Source organism: Homo sapiens, chromosome 2, assembly GCF_000001405.40.
Source record: "Homo sapiens chromosome 2, GRCh38.p14 Primary Assembly".
NCBI lineage: Eukaryota > Metazoa > Chordata > Mammalia > Primates > Hominidae > Homo > Homo sapiens.
In genome coordinates this window covers 104895996-104913116 of record NC_000002.12, presented here as the reverse complement: position 1 = coordinate 104913116, position 17121 = coordinate 104895996, and the positions used below count along the sequence as shown (strand labels likewise).

Genomic DNA, 17121 nt, shown 5'->3' with positions numbered 1-17121 from the left:
CAACAAAGCTGCGTTTCAATTGCCCCACATCCAAGTGGTTTGCAATCCCGTGGCCATTCACCCAGTAAAGCCCACTACATGTTTTTCTTTTCAATCTAGGTAAATGAAATAAAAACACGCATCTTGAGAGTAATAATTCAAGTAGTATGAAAATTTATTGGGTTGAAAAAGTCTGGAGATGAGTAATGCTTGAACATATTCCAGGATCTTCTGTCTGAAGCAAACCCAGACTGATCTGCAAGGTGACAGTGGCATTGGCACCATGAATGTCACATACCTCCAAGTCAGAAGGGATGCTGACATCATGGCATCCTCATCCCGTGGGGTCACACGGGGCTGCTCACTGCTGCGTGTGCTCACCCTGGCAGGCAAGAGGTGTCCCCAGCAAACCCAGTAGCCACACATGGACGCTCAACCTGTCGTGTTGTGCATATGACCTGGGTCGTGCTCAATGTTCAGGCTTGGAGCACCCTTACATAGAAATAAAATAAGAGAAAATAAGAAAATAAAGTACACATCTTGAGTCTTCTCTTCAAACCCTAAAGATAAGGGATTAAAAATGGCTCTTTGGAAGTGTGAAAGAGAAAATAGTCAAGCTACTCAGGTATTGAATCTGAGCAGATTATCCTTACCCATCTGTTAGTAACTCCTGTGGGGGCCCCCCACACCACATAGTGATTTTCTAAGCATGCTTTTAAATGGTGCTCAACAGCTTTGGCGTGGGAATGCAAGGACCAGTCAAGAGTAGAAGCAGAACTGGCTTTCGTGAGGGCGGAGTGGCCAATGATGCCGGTGAGTGATCTCAGCTACGATGGAGGCTTCCCCAGCCCCAAACTCCCTCCTTCCCCCTTCCTTTGTTTATTCAAGAAACACTTGTCAAGCACCCACAATGCGCTAGGTTCTGTGCTTGATGCTTGCCCGACCAGCACGAACAAACTCGGCACTGCTCTGTGCAGTGACGGCAATCAAACACACTGCTCCGAATCCCTGGAGGGGATGGCTCCCATGACGGCACCCTGGGTGCTGGAGGCAGAGACGGCCTGTGGGGCTCCGGGCTTGGGCCTGTGAGTGGCGTGCACACCCAAAAAGCTATCAACAGGCGCGCTGCAGTCAGAGGTACACTTTTATTGATAGACTTGACTTCAGGATAAAGACTTTTGGAAAATTGGCTCTTAAGTTTTTAATATAATAATATTATATATCAGCTTGTATTTGCATATTTATTTACACAACATACTTTTCTGTGTCACTTACAGCTTCTCCCCCTCTCTCGCATCTCTCTCTCTCTCTCCCTCTCTCTCTCGAGACCACTTGTTTGGGTCTGGGGTAGGTAGAGTTTCCTGAATCAGCTTTTCATGCTTCCCAGTCTCGGATGGTTCCTCTCTTTGTAGTTGTCCTTTCTCTTCCACATCTTTTCCTCCACTCTCCTCCTTACCTTAACACTCATGGATAAATTCATGTTTTTTATTTTCTCTGTGTCAGGGGGTATGTAGGGCTTTTCAAGTCCTCAAAGCCAGCCATGAACCTGCTGGGAGATGCTCTTCTCCCAGGCTTTCAGGACATGGTTCCCACCACACTTCTCTTATGTTCCACTCTGTTCACTGCCTGGGTCATCACAGGCAGCATCTCCCTTTCAGCACATCCCTTGCAATGTCTTATGACTGTTTGTGGCCGTGTAGCACTTTTTTTTTTTTTTTTTTTTGAGACGGAGTCTCGCTCTGTCGCCCAGGCTGGAGTGCAGTGGTGCGATCTCAGCTCACTGCAACCTCTGCCTTCCAGGTTCAAGCAATTCTGTCTGCCTCAGCCTCCCTAGTAGCTGGGATTACAGGTGCCTGCCACCACACCTGGCTATTTTTTTTTTTGTACTTTTTAGTAGAGATGGGATTTTGCCATTTTGGCCAGGCTGGTCTTGAACTCCTGACCTCACATGACACCTTGGCCTCCCAAAGTGCTGGGATTACAGGTGTAAGCCATCATGCCCGGCCCATGTAGCACATTTTGACCATACGGTTGTCCCTCAGTATCTATGGGCATTTGGGTCCAGGACTCCTTGGGCTATCAAAATCCATGAATACTCAAGTCCCTGATATAAAATGGCCATATGTATATGACCTACTTACATCCTCCCATATACTTTAAATCGTCTCTAGATTACTTGTAATACCTAATACAATGTAAATACTATGTAAGTTGTTGTTATACTATATTTTTAAATTTGTATTTTTTTATTGTTTTTATTGTTGTATTTGTCTTTTTATTGTTCTTTTTTCTTTCTTTTTTTCCTGAGCATTTTACATCCATAGTTCGTTTAATCCATGGATGTGGAACCCATGAATACACAGGGCCAACTGTATACAGTTATCCTCTTTCTTAACATCAACTTAATCTCATTTTGCAAAAACTCTCAGTAAATTCGAAACCATTCTTCCATTTGGAGAGCTTTATGATCTCCTTCAGGTACAACAGTAGAATTAGCTAACATTTTTGGAGTACTTACTATATCTTTAGCAGCCTACTAAGCACTTCACTGTCACAATAGTTGATATATCATCTCTCAATTAACCCTCACATTAGTCCTGTGAGGTAGGTATTGTTATTTTACAGATAAGTGAAATAATACCTGGAGAGTTTACACGATCTGCCTGTAGTTGCATGGCTGTCGGTGGAATAAGGAGAATGCAAGGGCCCATTGAGTGGAGGAAAAGAGAATTCAGACAGCATTTCTTTCCTTTCCACTTAATTTGTAGAGTAGAGAAGAAGCCGCTTGTAGATATATTGCTCTTCTGAGTCTTAGGGGAGCCAAAGAGAGCTGTAACGATCACTGTTGCCCAAACTTGACTTTCATTTGACCCCAGAGAAAGTTGAGCAGCCCAAAGAAGACATGGGCTGAAGAGCTTGAACCCCATAAAGAACCCCAAGTCACTCTTCTATTGTAGCCCATTTTTAGTGCTTGAGTCTGTCATAAGGGCTACCATATTTTTCTCAGATACTTAATTATCACCAAAGCCAAGTTGTTGGTTGGTCATAATGTGATTTTTAGACCATCTATACAATAACAAAAATGACGAAATGGTGAAAAATTCAGTCAAGTGCTTGGTTGGACGTTTTTTATCCTTGTTTATGTAATGTCCAATAAAGCCAAATCTAATTTTTTAAAGAGTGAGTTGGGCCCACATTTTTCTATAAAAATAGATTTTCAGGGAAAATGGGAAATTGACAATTTCCCTAAGAATTATATATGAAGAAGTACTCTCTTGTATTTGAATAATGACAAGAGATTAGGCATTCCTGCATGCTTTTTCCCCCTTATTAATGAATTAGAATCCACAATTGATTTAAAATTAAATAAAATTCGCATAAGCATCAGTCACGTCTTCATTACCAGTCACTTGCGCTTTGTAAAACTGGATTTCCATTTAAATGGCTTCATGTCAAAATGGGAGTTGACTGTGGCTGTGGGGAGCCCAGCTGGGAAGCAGCCTGACCTGGCCCAGCCCGCAGCCAGTGCCCTGGCAGAGGCAGCTGTGAAGGGCACAGCCAGGCATGGGCAAGAGGCTGATTGGCAGGCACAGACACAGAGGGCCATGTCCGGCCGGAACAGGGGCAGCGGCAAGCACCAGGTGAGACTAATGGATCACAGGCAAGTTAGAGCTTCAGCTCATGACACTGGCTTCTTACAGTAACACACACATCTCTTGGCTGGCGTTAAAGGAGTCTTCCTTTTGTATCCCAGGGTACCATTTGTGGGTCTTTTCTGGCATATCTTCTGGCTTCCCATCCAGATTCTTGGGATCCTCCAGACCGCTGGGACCATGGATATGGTTTTCTCCCTCATCAGGCAGTTTGGAAATTCTTTCTCAGGTGAAAGGCAGAGACTTGGGAGCCGACTAAGGCCCTGGGGTAATTGTCTTAAGGAATTTTGGCCTCATAATTCACTAGCTGAATTGAAAATGTGAGAACACAATGTTACACGATTAATTTTATTTCTTAATTCTGGTGCTGTTTTCAAGAAGTGACAGATTTCAGAATAACTAAATAATTTCTAGTGTCACTTTTTTCTCCCAATATTACTATCACGTGTGAAACCTGGTATTTTGAGATATTTCATCACCCATCTGGTTCTCTAGGAATCTTTAAAAAGTGCAAGTACTTAAAAAAAGAAAAGAGTAAGAAAGAAAGAAAAAAGAAAAAGAATTGTTTTAAAATATACATGTATGTCCATCTTGCCTAAGTATTTTCTAATATTATCAGCAGGACACAATTTACTATGCATCATTATCTACTCTTATGAAATAGTTTAAATATTTTAGCATAATTGATGTCTCCATGCATTGCCTAGCTTAAGGATTGATTCTTACATTCTTTGCTGTAGACCATTGGAAAATCATTACTGAAACCATATTTAAACTGGATTTAAATAAACCTGAGTGGTTACTCAGCTGGGAGACAGGGAAATCTTCCTCACTCTTGCTCAAATAGAGTTGATCTCAGCTTCTCCTACTCTGCTTATGTATCATTAGATCATAGAGGATCATGAGGTCACAGCAGACTCCTTGATGAGTGAGGACAGTGGGAGATTCCTCAGTTGCTCCTTTCTCCTTGGACAAGGTGGTCACGTGCTCTTGAAAATTCACTCGTCTTTCTTCTACAATTCTTTACTTCTTACTCTTAAAGAATGATTGTACTCTCTCATCTTCTTATCCACAGCTATTTCTACAAAATTATCACTGTTTTACCATGTTATAAACCTGTGGGAAGACATGAGTTCTGAATCTTGGTTTCTTTTCTCTTTTCTTTTTTAACTTTGCTTCTAGAGATGTACTCATCCCAAAGCATTTTCATCAATGACAGCCCTGGAAAGTGAACCATCCATGTCTGGGAGTACTCATGCATGTTGCTGCAAAGATCCTGAATAAAATATTGGTAAATAGAAATGGCAGGGCACTCTTTAAAAAGACCAAATGGACTTCACCTCAGAAGGAAATAATAGTTTAATATTAAGAAATCTATTCATGCAATTCGCCATGTTAATAAATTAATCATTTGTTAACCTGAACAAGTACTGAAATGTGTCTTAATAAAGACAATATCCAATCCTGACTTTTAGAAACCTTTCTATAATAGGTCTAGGTGCATACATTCTTAACATGATAAAATCACACACACACATGCACATACACACACACTCTCACACATTCATTCCAGTATCCATATCATAGTATCATGCTTTATAGTAAAACCCTACAAGAGAAGTGTTTCTACTAAAGTCAATAGCAAGTCAAGGGGCCCCGTTATCACCAATGTTATTTAAAATTGTTCTAGAAGTACTAGTCAAAGTAATTAAAATAACAAAATAAGAAATATAAATGGTGGAAAGAAGGAGGCAAAATTTTTATTACTTGCAGATAATGTAATAGGATTGTATACCTGGAAAATCCCATGAGGATTAAACCAAGCCTTAGCCAAAAGCAAAAGGAATGGATAGCTACTTCAAAAAATAATAATAATAGTAGCTTCTTATTCTGCAAATATAAGACAGGAGAAAAAAGCAGAGGTAACATCCACTTATTTGCTCAATGCTTTTTCACTTGAGAGGCTGCTTTGTGCCAAGCCCTAGGGACGTAGCTAAAATAGGAGAGTAGTTGTTCTCTAGTCGCTTGCTTTGTAATTAAAGGAAATAAGCAAAATACACTAAAAAGCAAATACCCAAGTAGATACACAAGGCTTTTTAGGCAGTGGCAAGTGCTATGAAGGAATTCAGGAGAATAAGGGGATGGGATGTTGGAATTAGAGAGGTCAGGGACAGATGGGTGAGGAAAGTCCTGCATTCTGTAGGGTGGCCCAGGAAGGCCTCTCCTAGAAGATGGAATAGGAGCTGAGATGTGATGGATGAGAATTATCCACTCATGCAAAGAGCCAGAGGAAGGCAGAGAAGGAAGCACAAACGGAACGGGGAAAGAGCTGTGGAAAAGGAGCTTGGCATGTTAGAGAGATGGGGGAAGGAGCTAGGATGACGATGAGGGGCTGGGGCAGGATCCCACAGGATGCCTGCTGGGTCTTTTTTCGCGTGCAATATGCCACTGAAAGGCAGGAAGGTAGGGGTGTTCGTATGATTTTGTGGACTGCTGAGAAAGCCAACCCCGACAGATACGCAGAAATAGATTGTTGAAAGTATTGGTGGAAAGCTGTGGCCCAGGCAAGAGAGAGATGGTGGTGAGGTGGCAACAGGGAAACATGCATAGACGTATATTTCAGATGCGGAAGGAACTACCAGTACTTGCTATCAGACTGATGTGGAGAATAAGTAGGAGGAGAAATGGGGTGTAATTCAGAGATTCCATTCACAATAGAAAAACAAACAAAAACACAACATGCCTAAGAATAAATTACACAGGCAATGTCCAAAATCTATATGGAGAAAACTATAAAAATCTGCTGAAGGACTTAAAAAAATCGCATAATGGAGAAACAACTTTGCTGGAACAGGGCAGATATCGACAGGTTGAAGAAGTCAGTCCTTCCCAGTACAATCCCAATAGAAGTTCCTTTTTTAACATGACAAAAAGGACACCAAGGTTTATCTGGAAGAATAAACATTTATTTGGGATTAACCAGGACAATTCTAGAAGGAGAAAAGAAGAGCAACAATAGAAAACAATCTCTACCAGACACTAAAACGCAACAGAAAGCTGCACTAATAAAAACTGGGAGACATTGTACTGGGACAGGAATTAACAAGCAGATTAATAGATCCAATGGACAGTCTAGAAATAAACCCAGCTACTGATCCATTGTCTGTATTATAAAAAGGGCATTCCATGCAGAAAAGCTGGGGTATTACATGCAGATTGCGAACTAGTCAACTAGCTCTTTGAAAAAATAAAGCTGGATCTCTGTTTTACTTCTCATCAAAATAAATTCAAATGGATCAAAGATGCAACAGGAAAAAAATGAATATGCTCTATTTCTATAATCTTAAAGTGAGGAAGACCTTTCTATGCATCAAACAAAAATTAGAAGCTGTGTGAGGAATGATTGCCAACTGGAACTACATGAATATAGAAAATTGTTTGTATGCCAATGAAGCAAGCAAGCAAGCCAACCAAAAACTCTCCCATCTATTTGTTCATGACTTTCAAAGGCTATCACCAGCCAAATATGTTCCCATTGCTGTGGGTTGAATTGTGTCCCCTCAAAAGGTGTGTTCAAGTTCAAACCCCCAAAACCTGAGAATGTGACCATATTTGGAAACAGGATGTTTGCAGATGCAATCAAGTTAAGATGGTCATACTGAATTAGAGTGGGCCCTAATCCAAGAACCAGTGTTTTTATAAGAGAATATTTTGGACACAGGCACTCACAGAGGGAAGATGGCGTCCTGCAGAGGAAAGCAGAAATTGGAGCAATGAAGCTATAAGCTAAGGAGGCTGAGGATCGCTGGAAGCCATTAGAAACTAGAAAAGAGGGCTGGAACACATTCCCTCTTAAAACCTCAGAGGCATGACCCTGCCGACACCTTGATTTTGAACTTCTGGCTTGCAGAATACATTTCTGTTGTTTTAAACCACCCAGTTTGTGGTGATTTGTTACAACAGTCACAGAAAACTAATACACACATTAATGTCTAATAGGACACTGAACTTTGTTAAAACAAAACTCTTCTTCAGTTACATATTAATACATATGTAAGTAAAATCTGACATACCATTCAGCAGACAGTTATAGTAGTTAACCCTGGAGGGTAAGAATAAAGGGACTTCCACTATATGCATAAAGTGGAAGTATGCAGTTTGTAAAATAGTCTATGTACTAAATACTATGGTCTATTTAAAAAATTGCATGTATTACTCTTATAATAGAATGAAATTTTAAAAGAAGGAAAATAGGTAGTAAAAGTCTGTCATGATGCTATGAGTGGAATCCAACAAAATCAATCATGTGAGATGAAAGGTCGTGTTATTGAGCTAACAGACCAGGAGGCACATGAGCAGCCAGCCAGCTAGGAGTTCCAGGTGTCCAGATGCTCATTTCCAAATCCGTGCTCATCCCAGTTGGACCTTGTCGCTGCGATGGCAGTTGTCTGTGCTGGTTAAATACCCATGGGGTTGATACCAGGTCTTAGGGCTGGCTAGGATCTCTGGAATAATGGCTCCATTTCCTACATGTTTCGTGAGCTCACTGGGAAGTCTGGCCTGAGGAATTCAGCGGGCCCAGAGACTCATTCTCTGCCTTTCTCTTCCCAAACTGCATTATTCATCTGCCTGGTTCTCATCCCCTCCACGCCCCTCTCTTGCACCCCAGGTACCACAGCCTTAAGAGCTTCAGTCTTAGAGGGCTTGGAATGTGTAAAGGACAGGAACTGATATACATCGTCCTATACATGAGACGTGTAAAGGACAGGAACTGATGTACCTCAGTATACATTTGACTTTGCCTTTCTACAAGGTGTGTTAAAGAAGTGTGTGCCATGCCATATATTATACCACAATTTAGATAAGGAACACTATAAATGTTCCTTACATTTATAGTAAGGAACATTTATAGTAAACAAATAAATTCATATTCTTGTTTGAGATTCACATTTCACAGGTTATTGGTTATTAACTGGATTCGTTCCACTGGATTGCCCTTTGCAGTATATACTCATTAATACTTTATTTCTTGATTTTTTTGGTTGATTTTTTATATAAATACAAACTCACATTTCCAGGACTTTTTGCTATACCCATTTCACTCCTACTTTATGTACACTTTACAGTGGCCCTGTTGGTGACATATGATAGACTATACTGTAATAGGTTCAGATGAACTAAAGGTACATCATTTGATCACCTAAGAGGGTTTTAATGGTTCACTCTCTGATAATTAGCTCTAAGTAGTTGACCCTCCAACCGTTCCCCACAGCTGCAGAGTAGAGAGTGCCACTTTAATGTGCTACTTTGGGCTACCTAAATTATTGCAAATCCAATTGCTGGCAACTTGTTCTTCTTCTGATGGAAATTCTGGCTTTGTAGTGCTTTGCAAATGCTTCATCCCCACAATACCTACCATGAAAGTTCTCTTTCATACTCTAGGCCCTCTGGAACCTTCCCCATCTCAGAAAGCTTAAGGCCATTCAGCTAAGAATCTGAATCTTACCTACGACTTCCAATCATTTCAACTCACCTTGGCCTTTCCTTGAGCAAGGAAAGGAACTTGCTGGTCATTCAGCAGACCAACTTGAGTAACTATCAAAGCAAAATCAGAACCAAATCTTAATGTAGCTGATGTATGTACAAGCCAAAGAATGAAAAGCCCATCTTCCTGCAAGAACCCGTAGAGCTTCTTAACCCCCACAGACAAACATTTTTCTAACAGAAAGGTTATAGGAAGGAGAGGCTGAATTTATTAACCGTCTCCTTGTCCTGCCACTGCCTGACTTCCTTTGGGCTCACCAGACAACGTTTAGGCGCCAGACACATATGCCTGGTGCCATTTGCGTGTCTGTGTTAAAGTTGACTTAATTAGGAGAGTTTACCTCAAATAAATGCTTAAATGAATTCTCTTAGTGGTGTAACATTTTGTCTACTGCCTATTACTGTGCCTTGTGGCTGAAACAGAACAGCACACATAAAGCGTGCAGCAGCTCTGAAGTCATGTTTACATGTATTGATGTGCAGTAGGAAAAGAAAATGGGACTGAGGTCAGGTGAACTCCTGTAGGATAAATAGAGATAAATAATTCAGATTCTCATTATAATAGAGGCATATAGCACCGGTGCATGGGAGCACCCTGCCTTTGTACCAATTGGTATGCAGTGGCTGTTCAGAAGCCATAGCATGTAATCTAGCATTAATATTAACATAAATCAGAGGTAGGAATTAGCAATATTTCTAAAGTCTTATAGGATAACTGAATTCACACTATATTGTTTAGTCCTCCTGGGCATTTTAGTAATTGTGTAATAGAAATGTTGAGGTAGTTGAGATATTCTTTATATTACACTATGAAAGGATCTTTAACACAATGTCTTTAGCAGACAGTTTTGATAGAACGCGTTGAACAAAAAGAAATATGCCTATTTTGGTAATATGGGTATGTTTCATTAGCTCAGCCTGCAGCGATATGACATTACATTCTAAAAGGAATACAATTAATAACAATGAGAGATTTTTAGCTCTCAGAGTGTCGCTGGAGGAACTAAGCGCGATGTCAGGGCAATTAAGCGGAGGCCCTGCATTACCTTTGTCTGCATACCCTTAACATTGCCCTGTCTCAGTGTGGTGAATAGTTATTTCTTTAGTGGAGAATTTGTAATTTATTTGGATGTTTCTTATAATTCAGACCACCATTATAAAAATTATTTTTTCTCCCTTTTATTCAGGTAAGAAAAAAATCATTAAACATAACTAGCTAGTAGAAATTAACATTTCTTCAGATTGCCATAGCTGCCATATTTTTGCTATAAGGGAATGAATGACTGTGAGGGAGATGCACACAGTCACTGCTGGGGATTTGACTGACCGCTACTCTCCTATCGGTACAGCAGGAAAGGGGCAAACAACTGCAAAGCCTGTACAGTCCACATGGTCTATAACAGCAATCCAGGGGAAAAGGTTGAACTTTGAGACTATTAAAATAATCAGCCAGGGTATTGTTTCATTCAATGTTAACCTTTATGTTTTATGTTAAATGACAGTGAAGGTTCTGGAACACGGTGATTCCCCCGAGTCTCGGGAGCTGAGATTTCTTTGATCTCTAAAGAGGCTTCATTCCACTCTGCAATGCCGAAATGCTCTTGGCTCCCTCTTCACTGGTCAGTTTTAATAGGTGCAACAAAAGATAAAATGTTTTAAAACATGAAAACTCTGGTTTTTAAAAACAGATGATGAAGAGACTGGCTTAAAATCCCCCTTCTGAGTGTCCCATTTGCTTCACACTTTTGGGGTTGTGGTTCTGTTGGGCAAGGAGAAGGTTGCAGGTAATAGGGAGTGATGAGAGAGGGGGCGAGAGAGGGAAGAGAGGGAGAGATAGGGAGAGGGAGGTTGGAGGAGAGAAAGAGGGAGGGAGCCTCGCCCATCATTCCTGACTCCCCAAATTTCCCCTGATGGACTTTTCCTGGTGAACATCTACAGTCTGTAAGCAGGTGTCTAGAAATGTTGCTGCTGAGTCTAAGCCTTGGGGCATTAATACGCAACTCCATTTCCACTCATGAGTAATGTATTAAAATTTTGTAGCTAATAAATTCTTAATGTGAGAAGCTCCAGGTTATTTCTTACTTACACAGCGACTTGGTTAATGGAACACCAACCTGGCCGTGGCTCCGGCCGCCTGTTATTTTCCGTGCTGTTTTCCCAAGGCTTTCCAATGCAGTCAGCTCCACTGCTAACTCCCTCTGCCTGTGACCACTGCTTAGTTCCTGCATATATGCAGAAGCACACACCTCTTCAGACAATTAAATCACACCAAACTGCTCGGGGACTGGAGACCTGCGAGTGTTATGTGAGCAGTTCCCCTCCCCTGCTAAGTATTATTGACAAATCCATCAAGGGCAGTGATGCATTGGTTTCCACCTTACCTAGAAGGACACTAGGGCAATGGTGACATGCTGTCACCGTGGTAACTGCGGCTGAAGTGAACAGCCTGTTAGGATAGGTGACCTCTGTTGGCAGTGCGCCTAGAGATGTAGCACTCACCCGGCTGCCGTGTCATGGGGACCCCAAGGAGCAGCTCAGTGCCCTCAAATTGATTCATTAGGCCCAAAACATATCGATCGCTCCAATTTGCAGGAATTTATTATATTGATATTGGACTGATTAACATTTTGTGCCAGACTGGTTCAATATGTGCTTGTAACAGCTTTTAATGATTAATTGACTTTTATGATTCCATCTCAGGGCTGTCAGTGAGCTGTGAACTGTGGGCAGGCTTGCTCCTGGGCTGTCTCTCCAGTGGCACAGGGCAGTGATTGAATACCTAGGAAATTAGTGTCCTTGCTGTCTCATTTTATGAAAGATAAATGCTATGACATTTAATGCAGACCTTAATTTAGAACAGAACTAAGCAGATCATTTTGCAATTTAATCATAAACAGGTAAATATCAAAACTTGTTTAGCATTTTACAAGTTAAGCACACAGAAAACAGAGGTAAAGTGGAGCAGGCAACCAGGGGGAGACAGCAAGAGGTAAAATAAAGTGATATGGGCAGGAACTGCACAGCATTTTAATAATCATGTAATTTATTAGGGCCAACATCCGAGCCCATTTTTCAGTCCAGAATATACTGCTCTCATTCACTCGGTAGTGAGCCGAGGGTGTGCCACTTGGCGCAGGCTGAAAAGTTAGCATTTACCTTCCTGGCCACGGGCAGCCTTGCAATATTGCCTGGTGAGTCAAGGAAAATACATTGATTTGCCACAAAAGTAAATAGCCGAATAAGGGACAGGCTCTAGTTTAATATGTGCCCCTGACATGTCATAAGGGGAATATCACATTCAGTATGGTTTACGTGTTACCTAAAACAACCATAAACATTATGAAAAGACGACAGGGGAAGATGAGATTTTATTGTGCTTGCTAACAACAGCGAGAGAAGAGTAGGAAGGCTGGGGGCTGTCAACTCACACCTTCTCGCATTCATATTTAAAGCGTATTTTCTTCCTTTCATTTTAATTAAAAGACTTAAGTTAGGGGGAAACTGTCTAAACATCATGTCAAATTATTCATGTTTGTACATATAAGGAATAAAATGGAATGGTTCTCCTGCTCACGGTTCTTCTTTCTTCTTTACCATTCCATATTTTTCTATGTAGCTGTGCAGTGGAAGGACGCCCTCACTTGATGTGTAAGTGTCAGTTGTTAAAGTGTCATCTAACCATGCGCAGTGTACATCGTTTATGGCCCTTGTCTGAGATACACTCAAACCATAGCATTTTTATTTTATCCAGCCCTCCATTGGTGAAAAGAATTGGAGGTCACCCAGTCTCCCATCCTAGAGTCACTAGAAACTCTATCCTGCTGCTCTGCCCATTTTCATCAAAGGCCTAGGCCACCTCCCTCCCTCAGTGCGTAGACAAACTATCTGACATCATCTCCATTTCAATTTGGAACTATGGCATCTTGTGATTCTTGTGATCCTGGAGGGCAGGATTTAAGTGGGCTCCCTGCTATGTGCTTCTGCACTTGGACACACACCCACAAGGGCAGTCTTCGAATGTGTGTATTTCACCTGCGTGGTTGGGAGTGCCCTCACCTCGAGTCTGTCTTATGCCATGAGCCTTGCTTGGCATCCGTTGCTGTTGGCCATGCATGGCATCACGGTCCCCTCCCTGTTCAGCGCCCAAAGCATAGATAGGACGAGAGCTTGGAAAACCTCAAAGTGCCTCTCTCCTGTGTGGAAATTGAGAAAGCACAGACATAATTACCTTTGTTGGCTCACAGTCTCAAACAGCAAAAGACATTTTAAACATCTGCCCTTCCTTTGATTGGTTCTACATCCTCTCTCTTTTTGGCTACTGTTCATTATTCTGCATTATATTCATTACCAAGAAATCTTCTCCAAGCCAATATTTTCATTTGGATTCATTTGGAAAGATGACTTGGATCCAGGGTATTAATCTGATCCAGCCCCACACAAACCCATAATAGACTATGACACACCACATATAGATAAATTCTATAGAGAGAGCTGTGTTTCAGGCTTAAGGATCTGATCCTCTCTATTGTGCCAGAAATGCCATATACTCAGGCACAGAGGAGAAAAATGGGTCTCTTTTTAGTTTCTCTGCTTTACCGGAAAGGGGAAAGGAAAGAATCAGGGCTGTCCCGAAGCTCTGCTCTGGGCTCACACAGCACTCATGCTGCAGCCCCGGAGTTCCTCTGTGGGTGTGGAAACACACAACCCAGGCACAGCAGGCACACACAACCCATACTGCCGATCCGTCGCTTATGTGCTGGGTCTGTGAATTTTCCCGTGTCAGGGAGGAATCATCCTTTTGAGTATCTCCATGGCACTTCATGCTCACCATGCTCCTTGGATTAGAATTCAGATTTCTTCCTTTGGTCAAAGTTTATTGGTTTCATCTCACTGGCATTCACTGTATAGGGAGAATTTTCAGGAGTCACTGAATACTCTCTGGCCTCCTTCCTTCCAATCACCAATCGAATAACTTTCTGTATCTATTTTATCTTCTGGTTCTGCTGTCAGATACCTGTCATACTATTAGCAGGAATTCCATGAAAAATTTAACAGGTAAAAAAAATGTTGATTCCCCAAAGTGGACTACTGGAATACATTCTTTCCTTATCCTGTGGGTAACAGCCTTCAAAATGCTTACCTTTTAGTGAACATTTTAACTCAGGCAGAAAAAGGTACGAAAAGATTGGGAAATGATCTCATTCTAAAGCCAGCATCTAAGGAAAATATTCAAAAATTCAAGCAGAAAAATTCAAAGTGTCTTATTTTTTAAAAACACTTTTTATCTGTACATTTTGTTAGTAAGGCTTACCAAAGGACCACTATGATATGCTTTACTTCATAGTCATAAAATACGACAGTCTTTAATTAACTCTTTATATGTAATAGAAACTCTAGTACCAAATATTTTACATTTTTGACACTAGAATTTCTATTCTACATGGGAATTTTACTTAATAATTATTGCCATTAAGCTTGATAGCATAATTGATCACACTGGTTTGAAGACTTATTTTATTTTATTCTATAATCATATTTTTATGCCTCTAATCTAAACAATAATATCCCCAGGAAAACGTATCTTCATTTCAGCATCTTAGTTCAGGCCGCTATGACAAAGCATTATACACTGGGTGACGTACGAACAGCAGAAATTTATTTCTCACAGTTCTGGAAGCTGGAAGTCCGAAATCAGAGGACCAGCATGGCTGGGACCTGGTGAGGTGCTCCTTCCAGGCTGCAGACTGCCTACCTCTCCACGTGTCCTCAGTGGGTGGAGAGAGATGGAGCTGGCTCTCCGGCCTCTTCTTAAGCGGGCACTAATCCCATTCACGACACTCACAAGGGCTCCACCCTTGTGACTAATCACCTCCCAAATGCCCCACTTCCAAATTTCATTACCTTGGGGATTTGATTTCAACATAGGAACTCTGGGGGGACAAGAACATTCAGTCCCTCTTATAACTTAGGAAAACAATTTTTTCTTGGGTATTTCAGTAGCCACATGAGTTGTGGTTTTGAACCTAGCCAAGCTTATCTCTTAATCTATCTTCATAAGGCCCTAGAAAGAAAGCCTTTCTTGGCTTCCATGTGTTGGTCTTTGAAGGGATACTGAAATGTCATATCCACCCAGCATTTCCAAATATCTAAACCTTGGTTGAAATGCATATAAACATCTGGTTTGAGGTGATGTCTCACTTTTTATCTAAACATTTCAGCAGTGTGCAGACAAAAAGATCGACTTCTGAGTCATCGCTGACTGATTCTCCATTCCTTTCCAGCACTGATGATTCCTTTGCCTGAGAGCAGGGGTATCTGTGTTCCCCACATGGGCGGGGCTGGGGTTCGTCCTGGGTCTTGGAGTGGGTGTTTGTGCCACTCACCACTAAGTGGGCTTGTGAGCTGGCTGGCAGTGCTCCTGGGGATTGGCTGAGTGGGCTGTAGGGGGAGGGGGGTTTTCCCCTTCCTTCTTCTCACTATTGCAGGTGGGAAGGTAAAAATGGATGAGCAAAGGGATGCTCTGTTTTCCTTTCTCCCAGGTGTGGTTCTACCAAAATGAACAATTCCTAAACACCTGCCAGGGTTGGGGAGCAGAGACCCAGGTCCCCAGTTCTGGGTGGAGGAGCTCCGGGCAGCTTCTGTAGGAATAAAGACTCAGTATAATTGAGGGTCTGGTTCTTCATTCTGACTCTTAGTAGCTGTGTGATCTTAGGCAGCTTACTTTATGCTGCTGGCTTCTCCTTCTTTAGCTCTAAAGTCAGGTCCTTTCAACTCTAAAATGCAATGCCAACCTTGGCATCTCACCCCTGATCTGGAGTTAACTCCCCTTCCCAATTCCTCTACTTCTGGACTATCAGGTATTCCTGACACGGGTGTGCTGGGATTTTAACCGTAAGCTTTCAAGGAGAGAGGAGGAAACTGGACTATTTAGGACAAGGACTCAAAGGTGCAATGCCAGTGTAGGACTGCCCCTGAAAAAGGGCATCCAACAGCCAGAGTCCCTTGATTTGAAGCTCCGAGGACCAATCTGTGTTGCATTCATGTCAAGGGGCCTGACCTGGTGTCCCAAGCAGGCATCCAGATCCCACACATGAAGGGAACACAACAGCAGGATATGAGACCATCGTGATCCCACGTCAGTCCATCTTCACTCAAACAGGCTTCTCCAGGAGAGGCGGGGCACAGGGGTCAGCACTCAGGCTTCACCAAGGTTCGACGAGAGAATGAGGAGGAGAAAGGGACCAGGACGTGGAGTGTCATGAGGAAACTGAGCAGAGGGGATGGTCTGGCTGCAAGCCAGCTCTCAGCCACATGATTCAGCTGCACAACCTCAGCCTTTCCTGAGGATGCCTCATGTGCTACTTGTGGAAGAAGTTGAGAGGGGATTTTAAAAACCTACTTAAAATAGAGTTATTACAAAAGTATGGGTGAACAATGCAGGTGTTACAACTGGACTGAACTTTGAAAGATGCCGTGTTATCTCGTAGAACCTCCCTCACAAGCTTCTGGGGTTTCAGGAATTTTTGGCTTAGGATCCTGCAGGGCTCTTTAGTCCATCTGGAATTAGATCCCAGTCTGGCCTCAAGTCCACGTCCTTTGGATTGCACCACGTGGCCTGGGGGTGCAGGTGGCTGGGGCCATCATTCCCCCAAGACACAGGGCTGAGGGCAGAAGTTCCATGCAGGGACCCCTACCCAGCCAGGTTTAGGTCTAACAGGTATGGGGATGAGAGGGCCAAGCAACACACAGCTAGAGACTATGGAGTCCTTCTGGCTTCCTTGGAGCTGGGAGGAAGCTTCCAGCACCACATCCTGTTACTCAATCCTGCCTTATTCTTGGATCCTAAATCCTGGTATCCACGTTCGAGTTCCTGCTCCCTGCCGCTCAGGCTTCCCGGTGCTAACTGCCCAGCTACCGAGCCCTTGTGTGCTGAAACAGACTCCCT

The 17121-nt window shown here is 42.3% G+C and overlaps 1 protein-coding gene and 1 long non-coding RNA gene across 5 annotated transcripts in view, besides 1 other annotated feature; both read right to left on the bottom strand.

Moving 5' to 3' along the window:
• POU3F3 (POU class 3 homeobox 3) overlaps positions 1-17121 on the bottom strand; it is a 74498-nt gene that overhangs the window by 14657 nt on the left and 42720 nt on the right. The window contains exons 2-3 of one of the 4 annotated variants that reach the window (NR_197432.1): positions 13233-13369; positions 11291-11398 (exon numbers count right to left, since the gene is read on the bottom strand). The exons of the other annotated variants lie outside the window; for them this stretch is intronic. The gene's annotated coding sequence lies outside the window, so the exon portion shown is untranslated. The remainder of the gene's footprint in view (positions 1-11290; positions 11399-13232; positions 13370-17121) is intronic. 4 annotated transcript variants of the gene reach the window in all.
• On the bottom strand, positions 2282-5387 carry DALIR (DNMT1-associated long intergenic non-coding RNA). The gene has a single exon (NR_197589.1). It is a non-coding gene; the product is annotated as a DNMT1-associated long intergenic non-coding RNA (long non-coding RNA).
• Positions 11085-12838: an enhancer, noted in NCBI's record as "VISTA enhancer hs990". NCBI's record gives its function as "enhancer in: hindbrain (rhombencephalon)[6/11] | other[4/11]" and the evidence as "EXISTENCE:transgenic organism evidence [ECO:0001131][PMID:17130149]".